The sequence below is a fragment of the Homo sapiens genome, chromosome 17, assembly GCF_000001405.40.
Source record: "Homo sapiens chromosome 17, GRCh38.p14 Primary Assembly".
Lineage (NCBI taxonomy): Eukaryota > Metazoa > Chordata > Mammalia > Primates > Hominidae > Homo > Homo sapiens.
In genome coordinates, this window is record NC_000017.11 from 6,536,810 (window position 1) to 6,554,070 (window position 17,261).

Below are 17,261 nucleotides of genomic sequence, written 5' to 3' on the forward strand. Positions count from 1 at the left end.
CTCAGGAGTAAGTCAACACCCTAAATATGGTGACTTCCCAGAGTGGGGCCACGCAGGCCAAGCAAGAGCCAGGGACTGTCCTGGGCTGTGGATCAGGACCCTGGTGCTTCTCCCCAACTCCTCTGCAGCCCAGCAGAGCATGGCTAGGGAGGGTCTTCTCTGCTCAATTCCAGACCGATTCTACCTTCCCATGCCTGTACACCTGCCTGGGTACTCGTGCCTCTGAGCCTTCAAGGCTGATCTCTGCCTGAAATGTCCACCCCTTTGGATGCCCCTTTCTTTCAATCCCAACGTCAACAATGCTCCTTCCTATGTCTCATGGGTTGGCCGGGAAGAGATGCAGAGGTCATTTCCCCACCCTCCTTGTCCCTCACCTGAACACTGGCAACAGTCTTTCTAACACTCTGGCACTCCCTGCATCTATGAGGCTCATTTATTTTTTCTTTCTTTTTTTTTTTTTTTTTTCTGAGACAGAGTATCGCTCTGTCTGCAGTGCCATCTCGGCTCACTGCAACCTCTGCCTCCCGGGTCCAAGCGATTCTCCCGCCTCAGCTTCCCCAGTAGCTGGGATTACAGGCACCCGCCACCACACCCGGCTAATGTTTTGTATTTTTAGTAGAGATGGGGTTTCACAGGACCACCTGTTAAAGGGAACACATCTGTTAAGGGAATACACATGTTGGCCAGGCTGGTCTCAAACTCCTGACCTCAGGTGATCCACCCACCTTGGCCTCCCAAAGTGCTGGGATTACAGGTGTGAGCCACCACGCCTGGCCTGACTGTTCTCTCTTACAACAGCTGGCACTTTTACTTAGCAGCGGCACTTTTACTTAGTGGCGATGGTCCCCATTCGTCATTGTATTTTCTTGGATGTCTGCCTCTCCTGCAAGGCTATAAGTATGATGAGAGCAGCAATGTGACGACTGATTGCCACAGGATCCCTGGCACCTAGCAGAGTTCCCGGCACATGTGAGGGGTTCAGCAAATATTTCAAACAGTGAACAGACGAAGGCTGAGCCCCTGCTCTTGGCACATCCACAGGATGGGTAAGTATGGAGTGTGGAGCTGCAGATACCACGTCTGAGTGGGGAGGGATGCGGACCCCCAAATGGGATCTTCTTCTTGAGGCTTCTAGGAAGGTCACCCAGCCAGTGATATGAGACTGGGGTTCACTCACCTCTGGCATCAAAGAATTCATCATCTGAGCTCTCCACAGAGTCACTGAGGACATTTCGAAGGTGCCAGGGGGCACCGCCGCCCGGGGGAGGACCACCTGTTAAAGGGAACACATCTGTTAACCAAGCCTGAGATGTTGTCCCAGTATGAGGGAGGTGACCCAAGACCCCCCTGGACTAAAGGCCAGTTAGCATCCTGCACATCTGTGCCCTCTCCCTCCGAGGCCTCAGACCTCACAGAGCCCTCCCTCTCCTGTGCTGTCATTGAAGCTCAAAAACCTCTCTGAGTAAGTGCAGCAGAGCAGGAATGCGTGTGCCCATTTTCCATGTCCTAACACTGAGGCTGGTGGTAGTTATGAGCCTTTGCCAAGGTGACTTTGCCAAGCAGCGTCTCAGTCAGCACAGGGGAAGCTCTGCTGTATTAACAAATGAGCTCAGACGTTTAAACATCAATGGTTCATTTCTCACTCACATACAGGTTGGAAGGGAGCTCTGCTCATTGCTGTCACTCATAAGTGCCACCACCTTACGATGTCACCAGCCCAAAAGGAGACATCAAGTTCTGGCCAAGCAGGGGAGAAGAGCTCAGAAAATCTCACCTAGTCTTAAATGCTTCTGCCCAGAAATCACACACTTCTGCTCGCATTTCACTGGCCCTGACTACCAGGCACACACGTCCTGTCCCTCAGAGACCTGCATTCTTGTATCAGCAATGCCCCTGCCTCAGTTTTTCCATCTGTACAATGAGAATCCTGGCAGAGACTGTCCTTTGAAACTCTTCTACTCTGACTGATATTGGAGGAGCCCACCTGGCCCACAGTAACTGACAATAAACAAGCATGGGGCGGGGGGTGGACATCCTCCCTAGCCACTGCCAGGTGAGCCTGATGGTGCAGTCCTTCGAGATACCTGCTACAGTCCCAGTTCACCACACCCCCTACCCTGCAGGATGCTGGCACTGTTCCCTGCCCTGAGTCCAGATCCCAGAGCATAAACTGTTCCTGAAGGGAGACGGTCAGCCCAGGCCATCCAGGGACACAGCCCTCCTGCCTGTCGTTCCTGCCTGGCCCACCACAAACTCCCAAACACACACCCAGTTTGTGCTTCATGGCTTGGAGCCCAGTAAGAAGCACATTCTGAGACATCAAAAGGACAGAGGGTACAGTGAACACCAACTCGGTAGTCACCTCTAGGTACAAGGCTGATTCCCTAAGCTTCTGATCCCCTGTCTCTACCAGTGTGAGCTGACGTTCCACCCTCGGGCCCTGGATTTACTGCAAGGGGGGTCTGAGAGTTCAGATGCACCATAACTGTGTGTTCCTAACACAGATATGGGACGATTTTCCAAATGTATGTGGAGGACATTCTAGCTATTGCAATAAGACAAGAAAAAAGAAATGATTGGAAAGGAAGAAATAAAATTGTCTTCATTCCCAGATGACATAATTGTCTATGCAGAAAACAAAAAGTCTACAAAATCTATATTAAAAAAACTACCAGAACTAACAACTGAGTATAGCAGGATTGCAGGATACAAGATCGACATGCAAAAGTCAATTGCATTCCTAGATACAAGAAATGAACTGAAATTTGAAAATGATAACGCCCTTTAAAATAGCGCACACAAAATACTTAGGCATAAAGCAAATGTATATAAAAATTTCTGTGATTCAAAAACTACAATCACTTAAAATTATTCCTGAATTATATCAACTGTATGTTTTCTCAATCAACAGATACTAAAGGTATAAAATCTATCATATCTACTACATTTGCATACTATGTGAATACGCTAGATTAATATACAGACATCCCTTGCTATCCCAGTCTTTTCCGTTCCTAAGAAGTAAGAATTTGGATAGTCAGCAAAGTCCTATTATCCCCATCTGTTCAGCTCCTGAGTTTTAGATAGTAAGAAGCAAGAGTTTAAGTAGCAACAAAGTCAGCTGAGGATTTATCTGGATCCATTTGGCTCCTGAGTTTGAACAGCAAGAGCCCAGTGAGAGGCTCCTCTATGCGGTGGCCTCATACATGCACGGTTTAGATCCATCCGAGAACAAAGGCAGAGGCATTCTCTCTGATGACCTGTGCAGGGGTCCCAGCAGGAGGTCTGGGGCAGAGGGAAAGGCTGCAGGGAGGCCAGTCAGCTCCATTTGAGGGAGCAAGTTCTCCCAGCTACAGGTGAGCAGAAAAGGAAGGGGCTGGTAGGCATCAAAGGGGCCTCTCATTCCACAGACACTGTGTTGGGAACTGGGAACACTGTGGGGAATGGACAGGATTGGGTGCTCGCAAAGCTTACATTCTGCAGGCGGGGAAGGAAAAGCCAGCCTCAGTCAAATAAACAACCCAGATAATTTCAGCCCAAAACCTCTCCCTTCCTACACTATGTCCTCCTTCCTCAAGTGTCTCTTATGTGATAATTACAGCCTAAAGAACAGACAGACTTGAATGTGTGGATCTGTACTTCCGTGGGGAGAAAATGGTTGGGGAAACTCAGCCTCAGACATCAAAAGAACTTTGTCACCTATTGTAGTTATAAATGCTGAACTAACATGATGTCTCCCTTTTATTATTGCGGCTCTCTTTTGTGGTTAAAATATATATTCTTTTCAAATGCATATTTTATCTTGTTTACTATTATTCTACTTGCTTTCAAAATGTATACCTGCCTTGGTGTTTTGTTTTGTTTTTGAAACAGAGTTTTGCTCTTGTCGCCCAGGCTGGAGTGCAATGGTGCGATCTTGGCTCACTGCAACCTTCACCTCCCGGGTTCAAGAGATTCTCCTGCCTCAGCCTCCCAAGTAGCTGGGATTACAGGTGCCTGCCACCATGCCCGGCTAATTTTTGTATTTTTAGTAGAGACGGGGTTTCACCATGTTGGCTAGGCTAGTCTCGAACTCCTGACCTCAGGTGATCTGCCCGCCTCAGCTTCCCAAAGTGCTGGGATTACAGGCGTGAGCCACTGCATCTGGCCCCGCCTTGGTTTTTAAATGTATACTGGATACCAGGTCTTCCCTCCCCTCCAGCAGGGGCTGCCCAACAAACTTCTGGAAAGGTGTTGGGGTGCAGGGAACCTCAGTTATATACCTGCAAAAACAGATATGTTAAGATGGAACATGGGAACTCTTCCCTGCATCTCTTCCTCCAGCATGCAGATTTTTTGGCAAACAACAAAGGTCGTATTTCCAACAAGGAGAAAAGCAATGGGCAGTGTCTCAGGAGGGGTTAGAGGGGAAGACCTTTGTGGAAAGGTGTCAGGCAAGCAGAGGCCTGAATAATAAGAAAACCCAGATATGCTAAGAGTGTGTGTGTGTGTGTGTGTGTGTGTGTGTATGCACATCTGCTTGTGCACATACATGTGTGGGATGGACCGGGCAAAATCCATGGATAAGAGCCTTCCTGGATGAAAGAACTGCAAGGGTAAATTCCCGTATGAGCTTGGTGTGTCCAAGGGGCAGAAAGAAATCCATGTGGCTGGGGCCAATGATTGAAGGGGGACAGGAATAGGGGAAATGGAGCCTGACCAGGTAGGGTAGGACCTGTCATGGACGGAAGCTTGGAACAGGTGAGTTTTAAGGCTCCTCCCACTGCCAAGCCTCTATCACCTGCAAACTTCAAGAGGAGGGGAATACAGATGCTGAAGAGTGTCAGAAAGTCTCCTGGGGGAGGGGACCACAAGTCAGATGTGCTAGAGGCCACCTAGGTTCCTGAGAGTCACAGCAGGTGGGCATGACGACCCCAGAACAGCAAGGGAAAGGCTCAGAAGCAGTGTCCTTGAGGTGGGTCCTTGCCCTACACTTCCCTGCATTTTCTGGGTCCAACACAAAGTCCCACACAGAAGAGGGCCAGGAAGTGTTTGACAAACAAGTAAATGAATAAAAATGATTTGCTTGGTGAGTGCGGCATGCCAGGCAGTCTGCTAGCTGCTTTTCAGACATTAGCTAAAGTCATCCTAACCAAGCCTAGCAAAGTAGACATACTGAATCCCCACCTTACAGCTAAGAAAACAGAGCCTCAGGGATGTTTCAGGAAGGCGTTTGCTCTGCGGAAGAGATCAGGGCGGGGGACCTCAGTCTCCTCCTCTCTCCATTGCCCGCTCTCTTGGAAATAGCAACCCTTCTACCTGTTTCTGGCCAGCTGGGCAAGGGGCCAGAGGCCTGCCCCTGGCTCCTCATGGGGGCCCTAGCCCTGGGGGGCTCAGCTGTCCCAGTTCTAGAACCATCTGCCCATCAGGTCTACAAATCAGTGTCTGGGTATCCTTGTGTCTGTGGGAAAAATCTAAATGGATGTCTACATTCCTGCGTAGAGGTGTCTAGTGTTACACGAGCATCTGTCCCTGTGTCTGCTTGGCTGTTGTGTGTGTGTCTACATTCCTTGGGGAGTGTGAGCTTACCCACTTGCCAGCCCCCTTCCTAATATTGTTCCTAAGAATCATGCATGCATGCACACTCCCATAATTCTCTCCCTCTCTCCCTCACACACAAAGTAAATCAGCTCCAGCCATGGGTGAAAATTTAGCAGAGGTTAGAACACGGGCTTTGGAACAACACAAATCTGGGTGCAGTGTTACCAGTGGCTAATCTAGGACCTGAAGCAAGTTAACTTCACTGAGCCTCACTTTTCTCATCCGGAAAATGAGCATCATAATACTTACCCCACTGTTAGGAGATTTAAATGACATCAGCCCCCAGAGCGTCTAGCCCACTGCCTGGCACTTGGAAATGGTGGCCTTGTCAGCGACAGGACCAAGGATTGAGGCAGGGTAAGCCCACCTGAGGGGCTTCCAGGCAGCTGCCAGGGGCCCTCCCCAAGGCCTCAGAGCTCTATCTGTGTCCTCCAAGGCCCAGCCCACCTCCTCCTGAAGACCCTCCTTCCATCCACCTTCACTACCACATTTATTTATTTTTATTTTTTGTTTTTTAATTGAGACAGGGTCTTGCCATGTTGCCCAGGCTGGTCTCAGACTCCTGAGCTCAAGCGATCTGCTCACCTCAGTCTCCCAAAGTGCTGGGATTACAGGCGTGAGCCACCACACCCAGACCTACATTTATTTAAAATGTTAAGTCAGGATGAAAGAGAAGGGGAATATCCCAACTCTTCTTCTAGCAATTTAGAGAGAAACAAATGACCCTTCACCCCAGCAATGCCAGCACAGCTCCGAGCTGGGCCGCTCAGTGGGAGGGGCTGCTGGAAGCCATCCCCACTCCCTCTCCTGGCCCCGATACCCACCACCTCAGGTCCAGGGTGGTCTCCTGGACCTTGTCATGGGCCTGGGTCTCCCTAGCATGGGTGCAGCCAAAGACTCTGCTCAGATCGTCAGCTCCTCCTGGCCATCTTTCCCACTCAGGGACATAGGACTAGGTGGACAGAGAGACAGACAGGCAGACAGATGGACAGGCGTCTCCTATGTGTGTTCTGCTCTATATCAGGGACCCCAAGGCAGCCCCAGCCCCAGGGGCAGAGTCCTCAGGCGAAGGGAGATGCCTCCCCCATGCTCAGGAGCCCTGTCTGAGGGGAAGACATTTCACAGTGAGGAACGCCCTGACCGTAAGATGCAGAACAAAGGTATTGGCCGATGCTTACTGGGCCAGACCTTGGGCCAGATGGTGCCAGGAAGGAAGGAGTAGGGGGCAGAGCTGAACTGGAACAGTCCCTGCCCTCAGAAATGCCAGCCCTGGGGGCACAGCCCTACACTGCTTCCTGCACAGAGCACAGGAGGAACAGAGGAGCAGACGTCCTGGCCCGTGTGAAATTCCACACCCACCATGTCTGTCCCGCGGCAAGTGGAAATGGTCCTCCCAGAAGCAGGGACTGGCTAGGGTACCCAGAGGGTTTCCGGGGGAGGGGAAGCCAAGATGAGCCTCCAAGGAAGGGGTGGGCAGGGTTGGCCAGGCTGGGGCAGGTGGGAGGAAGGGAGAGACACAGGCCAAAACAATCGAGCCCTTTCCAAGGAAAGCTGGATCTAGAACTTTCTCCTCAAGGGTAAGGAGCATCGGGGCAAAGGAGGGCACATGGGTGTCTGCTGGCAGCTGTGACTCCAGGGACATTCAGATAACACGTGCAATTTCCAGACCTCCAGGGAGGAACAGGTGCCCCTGAGCGAGGCCCTGGTGGGTGCACAGCATTGGGCTGGCACCTGCACCTACTGGCCTGTGGCCACAGCTTCTAGGCCCAGCCCTGCCTACGGCTATATCAGAAACTGCAGCCTGCCAATGCTGGATGGACTTAAGCAATCTGTGCCTCAGAAGAAGAAAGGGAGGCCAGGCATGGTGCCGCACACTTGTAATCCCAGCACTTTGGGAGGCCAAGGTAGGAGGATTGCTTGAGCCCAGGAGTTTGAGACCAGCCACGTCAACAAAGTGAGACCCCATCTGTACAAAAAAGTCAAAGTAAAAAAACAAGCCTGGCAGGGTAGCATGTGCCTATAGTCCCAGGTACTCAGGAGGCTGAGGTGGGAGGATCACTTGAGCCCAGCAGGTTGAGGCTGCATTGAGCCATGATCATGCCACTGCCCTCCAGCCTGGGGAACAGAGTGAGCCTCTGTCTCAAAAAAAATAAAAATAAAATAAAAAACAGAAAAGGAGAGGAGCCAAGAGTGAGAGCAGTGCCTGGCTGCAGGGCTGAGGCTCATTTGAATGGTGTCTCTCTCTCTCTCTCTCTCTCTCTCTCTCACACACACACACACACACACACAAATACACACATACACATACACGAGAACAGCAGGTTCTACAAGCACAAGCATCAGGGTCTAACTCCTGGCGGCTGATGCAGCTGAAAATAATCAGGCCTTGGGATGTCCCATGGGCAGTGGGAGCCCCGTAGACACATAGAGCCCAGAGCACACATGTGGCTCATGCAGCCACACACACACACACACTCACACACACACACACGCACACATGCACTTAGAATCACACTTCAGTGCTCTCAGCTCTGCCTTGGGGTCCCTGGGGTCCAAACGCAGAATGTGGAGTGCAGTGCTTCCTACAGCCTGGCCGAGGCTCCTGCGGACAGGCAGGTGACTGTCAAGCCCCGCCTCCTCCGTGCCTCCTCCTCCCTCGAGGAAACCACCATCCCGCTCCCACCTGACTGCTTCCAGCCCCAGTTCTGCCACTTACCAATTCGTGATCTTACTAAATGACAGGAAACCCTTCTGTGCCTCAGTCTCCTGCTCTGTAAAACGGGGAGGATAATCATGCTTACATAGTGTCGCAGTGAGGATTACATGAACAAACATTTCAAAACGGTTTAGCAGAGTGCCTGAGACTCCATCAGTGCTATAAAAGGGCGTGTTAAATAAAATAATAAATTGTGATTCTCCAAGAGCTTTTCTTTGGTTCTTTCATCCGTGGCAACTTCCAAGGGCAGACCCCTCTCCTTCTTCTCGGGCCCCTGGAATGGGAGCCTCGCCACTCCCCAAAGGCTGGAAATGCTTGCCCCTGCCCACGCTCGTGAGGCCAATCCCCCTCTCCTCCCTCCCATCGCAGGTCCCTGGGGCTTGCCTTGTCTGCTCCCTAAACTTGAACTACTGCAGGCCAGGACCTGCTCTCCCATCCCAGCCTCTCCTTCCAGCAGCCTGGGCTTCAGCAGCACATTGCCACCAGTAGAGCCTTCACACCACGCTCCTCTTCCTCTCCAGGCCTTTCCTCCTGCAGGTCCTGATGCCTGAAACGTCTTCTATCTCCCCATCCCACCCCCAATTCCTATTGATGCTTGAAGCATCAGCTGGAAGTCTTTCTTGGCCCCTGAGGCCAGCCCGGGTGCCTGTCTCCTTGTGGGTCCTTCATGTGCAGCACCTGTGTCCCTCAGAGTCCCTATTTACAGACTGGGTCCAGGCCTGCCTGCCCCATTGGGCTGTGGGTTCCCCCTGAGCAGACACCTGGTAGGAATCCTCTCCAGGCTCCTATCCTGTGCCAGGTCAGGGCTGGGCACACAGAAGGCTCTTGTCAGGCTCAGTGTGGCCCAGCAGAGGGGAGATCTTAGCAAGGCCCCCTCTCAGGGGAGCATCCCCGAGGGAATGTCCTCAGGCTTCCTCTCTGGATCAGGGTGAATTTGGAGACCAGACCAGTCCAGGGCCAGCCAGCCTATCCTCAGCCTTGAAGGGGGGCTGTCCAGGGAGAGATGAGAGGCCAGGAGAAGCTGCTTCCAGAAAAAGGCATTATTGAAGGAAACCAGTACTGGTTGGGGGTTGGTTGCTATAGAAACATGTCCTAACTATCTCCCAAACTGCTATATGTGCCACCGATGAGCTCATGTGCTCGTCTGTTTCAGGGGACACGCCAGGAGCCCTGGAAGGGCCTATCTGCCCGAGTACGCTGCATCTGAAGCCAACATCCTGGAGAACCCCGGAAGAAATCCAGCTTCCAGGGCAACCAGAGGGGATCATCCATCCATCGGTAATGCACTTAAAGACTGAGGCTGACTTCAGATTGCAGAACTGTCCTGAGAACAGCTCAGGTCTGAGACTAGCCGTGGCCCAAACCTCAACCTCAACCATGGCCTCAACTTTCAGTTTGGCCATAGACCGAGTTACAACCATGGCCACAGGCCAGGCCACAACTCCTGTCTCAAACCACACCACGAACCTGACCACAGACCCAGCTTGACTCAGTCACAGAGCAACAACACTGCTAGCCAAAGACTAAGCCCTGACCCTGGCCACACAATGGCACCCAGCACAATCAAGGGCTTGTATCAAATAACTTGAAGGATATGTTCACTCTAAAGTCTGTACAGGGCAGCTGTGGTGGCTCACGCCCGTAATCCCAGCACTTTGGGAGGCGGAGGCAGGTGGATCACCTGAAATCAGGAGTTGCAGACCAAGCTGGCCAACAGGGCGAAACCCCATCTCTACTAAAAAATACAAAAATTAGCCAGGCATGGTGGCACATGCCTGTAATCCCAGCTACTCGGGAGGCTGAGGCAGGGAGAACTGCTTGAACCCGGGAGGTGGATGTTGCAGTGAGCTGAGATCGTGCCATTGCACTCCAGCCTGGGTGACAGAGCAAGACTCCGTCTCAAAAAAAAAAAAGAAAAAAGTCTGTACAGCATTGCATCCGGTTGCCTGGGATTTCCACAGCCTCTGCTGCCTGTCGTCTTCACGATAGCCCAGGGAGGTCAGTAAGAAAGGACTCACGATTCTTGTTGACAGATGAGAAAACTGAAGCTCAGAGGAGAAAACTGATGTGCCTCCTGTCATGCCGCCTGTTTCTAGGGGTAAGGGGAGTCTCCAAGCAGGGCACAGTTGGCCAAACCAGTTGCTTTGGGGAAAATGTGCTTTTTGAAGACCTGCTGGTATGTCATAAATATGCCATTTAAATACCCATTAATTACCTTATTTAGGAGATAATTAGTGATTAATAGCTTTGGCTATCTATTGTACTTTCATTTGCTCTGCCAATTAGGCTCCCAACAGTTCTGAATTATTTGGAACAATTCTCCCAAGGCCCAGCTGTCCCCCCTATGTCCCGCCAGACTCTTGTTCCATAAGGAGGAGGCTCTCTCCTCCCTCTAAAACGAGTTCCCCGTAGCACCTGCCACTGTGCCACAACAGGCTCTGCCACCTGCAGGCTCCCCAGGAGGGCAGCCCGAAAGACAGGACAGCAGGAGGCATTCCTTCTGCTCATGGCAGGACCCCCTTGCAGAGAGCTGAGAATAGGGGCTCAAGGTCCAGGCACCTACCCAGGCAACGGGAGGCCAGGTTGGAATCAGACTCCTCAAAGGACGCTGGGGTCTCTTTTCTTTTCTTTTCTTTTCTTTTTTTTTTTGACAGAGTTTCACTCTTGTTGCCTAGGCTGGAGTGCAATGCCACGATCTCGGCTCACTGCAACCTCCGCCTCCCAGGTTCTCTCCTGCCTCAGCCTCCCAAGTAGCTGGGATTACAGGCATGCACCACCATGCCTGGCTAATTTTGTATTTTTAGTAGAGACGGGGTTTCTCCATGTTGGTCAGGCTGGTCTCAAACTCCCAACCTCAGGTGATCCACCTGCCTCGGCCTCCCAAAGTGCTGGGATTACAGGCGTGAGCCACCACGCCTGGCTGGGGTCTCTTTCAAAGACCACCACCTCAATGAAACGACCAGCTTTTTGGGAAGTGCATCAAAGGCTGCCATTAGCCTGGAGCAAACAGTAGGAGGGTAGCAGCTCCCCACCCCACTCCATGCCAGCAAGAGCCAATGTGACCCCCTGCAGGTGATCCGACTCATACCACCTGCCACTGCTGGACTGCAACTGAGCAAAGATGGGACCCAAGGTTGCCTCTGCCCCCAGGCCCCTCCATTTGGTGCCAAAGCACAGTGCCAGGAATTGCCAGCCAAAGCCCCAGAGGCGGAGCTCTCATCACTGCTCCAGATTATACTATATAAGAAGGAAACACAGAGGCTGCGAGGGGTAAACACACACACACACCCGAACTGGGCAGTAATGGGAAAGCTGAAAATAGCTCTTTTTACCACAAGGGATGACTCTAGAGTTGCTCGGCTGGGACTAGCCTCACGGGGGGCAGGAAGTAGGAGCAAGGGGAAGAGAAGGAACCCACAGGGGCGACATCAGGGCCAAAAGGAGTTCTGTTGAGGGTAGTAATCTGGATCAACCCAGAACAATCAGAAAAGGTCAATGGTGCATGAGTGACGGGCAGCCACAGACACTCAGACTCTCTGAAAGACAGACTCTAGAACAAGTGAAAGCCTTCCAGCTGTCAGCCCCGAGAGCTCACAGTCCCACATCCTGCACACCTAGGTCTCTCCCCAAGGAGGGCAGGAGTGCAGGACGTGACGTGCTCTGCAAATACCCAGAGCCAGGCAAACACGGTGTCAGCAGCAGACAGCTCAGAAGAGGCCTCTCAGATCCACCAGAACTCAACGCCCCTCCCAGACAGAGCCCAACGCGTTTCTATTTTTGCTTTCAACCCTTGTTTGGCATCCCTGCTACCAGCTAACAGACGGTTACTTCCCCTCCTTCCAGAAGAATGGGTCATCTGGGAAGAGGAACACCTCCTCTCTGGCCTCCCATGTCCCAGGTCTTGTAATAAACAGGCTGACCCTCCCAAAGAGAGATGAGGCTCCCAACACCCCCAGGAACCTTCCCCTGGTAGGTGGTTCACTCCAAGCTGTCCTGCTCACCAGCCCTGGAGAAGAGCTTCTCCAGGACACCTAGAGAGAGCAGCTTCACAAAACCTGAGACTCCTGCTTTCCAGAGGCAGATGCAACCCCCCGCAGCCCCTTGCCAGCCCTGGCCACACGGACTACACCCCATGGAGCCCCAAATTCACTCACACTGTGCCAACTCCAGCCACAGACTGAACCCCAACATGCCACACTCTGCACCCCATCTCTAGCCTCAAATCAAGCACTGACAGTGACCACACAGGCTTCCAGCCTGGCCCAATCTGAGCTGTGGCCCCATGAACGTGTGAGCCTCACAAATCCAGCCCTAGGAGAGCCTGGAGGAAGCAGGTTGGCTGTGTGGGGCCCCAGTGCTGGGACCCAGCTCCCACCCCAGAGTCATGGACAGAGGAGGCTTCTGCCCCCTGTCTACCCTTGCCACACACGCACCCTGTGGGGGCTGGTGGCCACACAGCTGTGCAGGCCTCCACAGGCACACGTGGGACCCTGGAGGTGGCATTTACCTCCGGAGTGACTCACTAAGCCTCCTATTCCATTTGCAAAAGGGGGTGCAATTTAGCATTTTCTTTCTCTTTAGAAAACAGGAATTTTAAAAGAGAGAGAGTGGAGAGAGATTTGAGGGAGTGGGTGGGGAGCTCAGATCTCATTTGATTTCCAAACTCATTTGTTATGCATTCTCTCCTCCCCCCTCCCACACCGAGCCCTTCCCCTGGGGACCCTGGCCACCCCCTTCCGGGCTCCTGGCTGCAGACCTGGTGATGGCCTGCCAGGAGGCACGTGCTCTCCACGTCCACGTCCTCAGCTCCCCATGGAATGACTGACCCTCAAGTCTGGGAGGATCAATGCAAGGTCAGAGTTGAGAGGGGGCAAGGCCTCTTCAGGACACAGTAAAACCCACAGCCAGGGAGGCTCTCTCCAAAAAGGAGAGAGCAGTGTTGGAGCTGGAAAGAGCCTGAAGCTCATCCTGACCCTCAAACTCTTCCCTTTCACTTTTACAGATAAGGAAACTGAGGCCCAAAGAGGGCAGTTCAAGGTCAACCAGTGCCAAAGCCAGGGCTCTCCTTCGTTAGACAAGTTAGCTCCCAGGAATATTGACTCCAACAGTAGAAGAGACATAAGCTCTAATCCCAGCTTTGCCTCTAACTTTATGTGTGATTCTAGCCCTAGATATTTAACCCTACTGGGCCTCAGTGTCTCATTCATAAAATGGGAATAACATTGGCTCTACCTCAGAGATGCTGTTGAGCCATTGGACAGAAAAGCATGCTGAGAGCTGCTATAGGATCTGAGCCAAATGGGTCCCAGCATGCGAACTCCCGATCCTAGGATCTCAGAATTCCTGGAAGGCAGCTGGGTCCTACCAGGAAGTCCCCAGTCCCTAAAGCCTCCATGGTCTCTGAAAGTTCACACTCTGTCCTTGAAAGGGGAAAGGATGCCGGATCTCAAAGAGGGACCCTTGACTGAAAGGGTCTGGTCTCTGTCTCCCAACCTGCTTAACAGGTAGAACAGGAGAACCAGGCCACCTCCAGCCATGAAGTCTCATAACATATGAAGATGTATGTGAGAAAACATCACAGCTTCTGGCCAATCTGACCCAGACATGGCCCAGGCAAGTGGCTGGGGCAGGGACACTGTCCAGCCATGTCCTCGTATTCTGTGTCCTGCCACACTGGACTTCCAAACACAGGTCAAGTCACAGAGGCCTCAAATGGGGGATAAGGGGTTCCAGGCCCAGGGTCACAGGCTTGAGGTGGAACCTCTCTGTTTGAGCTGCACCATCCTTGGCTCAAACAAGGACACCACAGCCAGAACTGAGCGGCAACAAACGTCTCAGGCTGGGACCTGCCAGGTCTGCTGCTGGGATAGGTGATTTCACAGAGGTCGGCGTATTTGCATAGGAACGTGAGGCCATCCAAGTTCCAGCACACCCCAGACTGCGGGAAAGCTTTTGAAAAGCCTGGAGTCTGGCCAGGCACGGTGGCTCACACCTGTAATCCCAGCACTTTGGGAGGCCAAGGCAGGCGGATCACGAGGTCAGGAGATTGAGACCATCCTGGCTAACACGGTGAAACCCCGTGTCTACTAAAAATACAAAAAATTAGCCGGGCATGGTGGCAGTCACCTGTAGTCCCAGCTACTCAGGAGGCTGAGGCGGGAGAATGGCGTGAACCCGGGAGGTGGAGCTTGCCGTGAGCTGAGCTGAGATCGCGCCACTGCACTCCAGCTTCGGCGACAGAGCGAGACTCCATCTCAAAAAAAAAAAAGAAAAGCCTGGAGTCTGGACACTGGTGTCTGATTTGACCATATTTGACCATAACCTTCCCATTGGGGACCAAAGAAAGTGAGTTTACCATCTCCTTGCAGGATGCAATGCCCGTCCCAAGATACACAGTAGAGTAATCGGTGCCCTAGGGCTGGGAGTTTCTCAGAGTCATGCCTCAAATCCTCTGGCACCTCCCCAAAGATTTAAGAATCCCAGCGTTGTCCAGGTATGATGGCTCATGCCTGTAATTCCAGTACTTTGGGAAGCCAAAGCAGGAAGGATTACTTGAGGCCCAGAGTTTGAGACCAGCCTGGGCAACGTAATGAGACCCCCATCGTTATGAAAAAAAAAGTATTAAAAAAATTTTTTTTTTTTTAATCTGCGCTAGTCCCCTTTCCAAGCTTCCAGATGTTTCCTCCTCTGAGTGATCCAGCCACTAGTCACTGCCCCTGGGAGCCACAGAGTAAGGGGCCCAGGAGAAGTCTCGCTTTGGGAGGATGTGAGAGCACACGCCCCACTCCAGGAGGACCCCAAAGGAGGCTGACTCAGCAGAGCAAGGTCCAAACTCTGGAAACCCAGGCTCTGCCGTCACCTTCTTCTGTGACGTTGGCCAAATACCTACCTCTCACGGGCCCTCAGCGACCCATTGTTAACGAGGACTTGGAACATGAGTATCGAAATGTTCCCTCCCATCCTAACACCGTAGGATCAGTACTTTACTGACTCAAATTACTAGGTTTGCCACATGGAAGCCTGCCAGCTACACCCCTCAGAGCAGAGGCTAACACCTGAGAGGAGAATAAACTGGTTCCTCCAGCCTGGGAGGCCCAACCCTGTGGCCTCGGCTCTGTCTCTGCAGATATTCCTGCCCCAGCCTGAGAGGTGCCAAGACCCTCTAGGCTGTTCACTCTGCTCCTGCCTAACCTGGGGACCTGGCCCCCACCCCCTACCCTCATTCTCTCAGTGGGAGAGAGGGGCAGCCTGTTGGGGTGCAGAGGGAGGGGCACAGGGAGGTAGACAGGAAGGGAGGGGCAGTGTGGCTGGCAGGAGTCAGAATCAACCCTTCCCAACAAAGGCAGCTCCACCAGGCTGGCCTCTCTCCAGCTTCCCAGGAGCCCTGGCGTCCCAGCCAGAGGGATCTGTCGAAACACAGTGCCAAGTCTTACCCCGGCACTCCTGTCTTCATGCTCTTTGGAGTTCCTTTTAGCCCTCTGCATTCTTCCGCTCCAGCCAGGTTTCTTTACTTTTGGGCACTTCCTACCCACCTTCCACCCCTACCCATAGCAGTCCTCCCACACTTACACATGTGCCTCTTCCTTTCCATCCTCCTAGCCTTTGTTCAAGCCACTACCCCCACCTGGAAGCCGGCCCCTGGCCACCTTTCTTTTTCTTTTTTTTTTTTTTTTTTTTTTGAGACGGAGTCTCGCTCTGTAGCCCAGGCTGGAGTGCAACGGCACGATCTCGGCTCACTGCAAGCTCTGACTCCTGGGTTCATGCCATTCTCTCGCCTCAGCCTCTCAAGAAGCTGGGACTACAGGCGCCCACCATCACGCCTGGCTAATTTTGTTTTTGTATTTTTAGTAGAGACGGGGTTTCACCGTGTTAGCCAGGATGGTCTCGATCTCCTGACCTCGTGATCTGCCCGCCTCGGCGTCCCAAAGTGCTGGGATTACAGGCACGAACCACCGCACCGAGCCCCTGGCCACCTTTCTATACAAACTGTGCCAGCCTTTAGGGCCCATCTCCCAGAGAAACCCAGCCTTCACTGTCTGTCTCAAGCCACTCACTGGCCTCTCTGCTCCGTGGGGAGCTCTGTACTGTAAATTGTCCCTCCTACTCAGAGCTTCTGAATCCTCCCCACCCCTGCCCCCACCTCCCTGTTGCTGGTTAGACTGGGGCCACCATAAATGATGCCTTTCTGTGTAACTGAAATCTCCCCTAGAGATTGAGAACTGGTAATAACCCATCTGGATTCACCTTCTGAAGATCTATCTCATCCTCTCTGGGCCCCGATAACAATTTCTCTTGTACCTGGATTCTCCTGGCAGTGTAAGAGTCCTTTCACTGCCTCCTTTTAGCTCTTGTCCGACACAAGCCATGCCACAAATCTGGCACAGCCATGACCTGCTGCTCAGGCTGTGCACTGCACAACTCCAGGGGTATTATTCACTAGACCACACGTGATGACCTAAAGTCAGGTACCATGGCAGCCCTGGGGCCCAAAGCTCTGCCTTTTCTCTCCGTGGGTGATCTACTGGCCAGATTTTAAAGGGAACATCTCACAGGTCATGGTGCAGACCCCTCATTCACAGGCCGGGTGCCACAGCCTCCACTCCTGGCCTTCAGCAGCCCTTTGTTCCTGTGTCACCCCCCGCCGCCCCACCCCGCCAGAGTGAAGGCCTGATCATTCCTGCCCATCAGTCTGCCCATCCGAGGCAGGTGGTACTGAACAGCCACCCCGCTCTCTATGTTCTCCTTGGGCCTCAGTTTCCCCAGCTGTGAAGAAAGAGATGGGTTCCTGATCTCCAAGGGCTCCCTCTGTTCTGAAGCTCACCAATCTATTCTTCACAGATGTTGCCAATGAGGAATATGTGATTCTCATACACACATTACTGTGTGTTGTTTTTGATTCAGTAGGCTTATGAGCATCAAGAAGAGAAGGGAGACCAGGCGCAGTGCCTCACACCTGTAATCCCAT

General features: G+C 52.5%; 1 protein-coding gene across 5 annotated transcripts in view, besides 2 other annotated features; it reads right to left on the bottom strand.

The window, feature by feature from the left end:
- PITPNM3 (PITPNM family member 3) overlaps window positions 1-17,261 on the bottom strand; it is a 105,293-nt gene that overhangs the window by 85,547 nt on the left and 2,485 nt on the right. For all 5 annotated transcript variants that reach the window (NM_001165966.2, NM_031220.4, XM_011524015.4 and 2 more), the window contains exon 2: window positions 1,178-1,273. In NM_001165966.2, coding sequence (NP_001159438.1) covers window positions 1,178-1,273 — 96 coding nt within the window. The remainder of the gene's footprint in view (window positions 1-1,177; window positions 1,274-17,261) is intronic.
- Window positions 7,076-7,576: an enhancer, noted in NCBI's record as "H3K4me1 hESC enhancer chr17:6447205-6447705 (GRCh37/hg19 assembly coordinates)". NCBI's record gives its function as "activates a minimal SCP1, AML or CMV promoter by ChIP-STARR-seq in primed H9 embryonic stem cells {active_cell/tissue: H9 hESC(primed)}" and the evidence as "EXISTENCE:reporter gene assay evidence [ECO:0000049][PMID:30033119]".
- Window positions 12,113-12,831: an enhancer, noted in NCBI's record as "H3K4me1 hESC enhancer chr17:6452242-6452960 (GRCh37/hg19 assembly coordinates)". NCBI's record gives its function as "activates a minimal SCP1, AML or CMV promoter by ChIP-STARR-seq in primed H9 embryonic stem cells {active_cell/tissue: H9 hESC(primed)}" and the evidence as "EXISTENCE:reporter gene assay evidence [ECO:0000049][PMID:30033119]".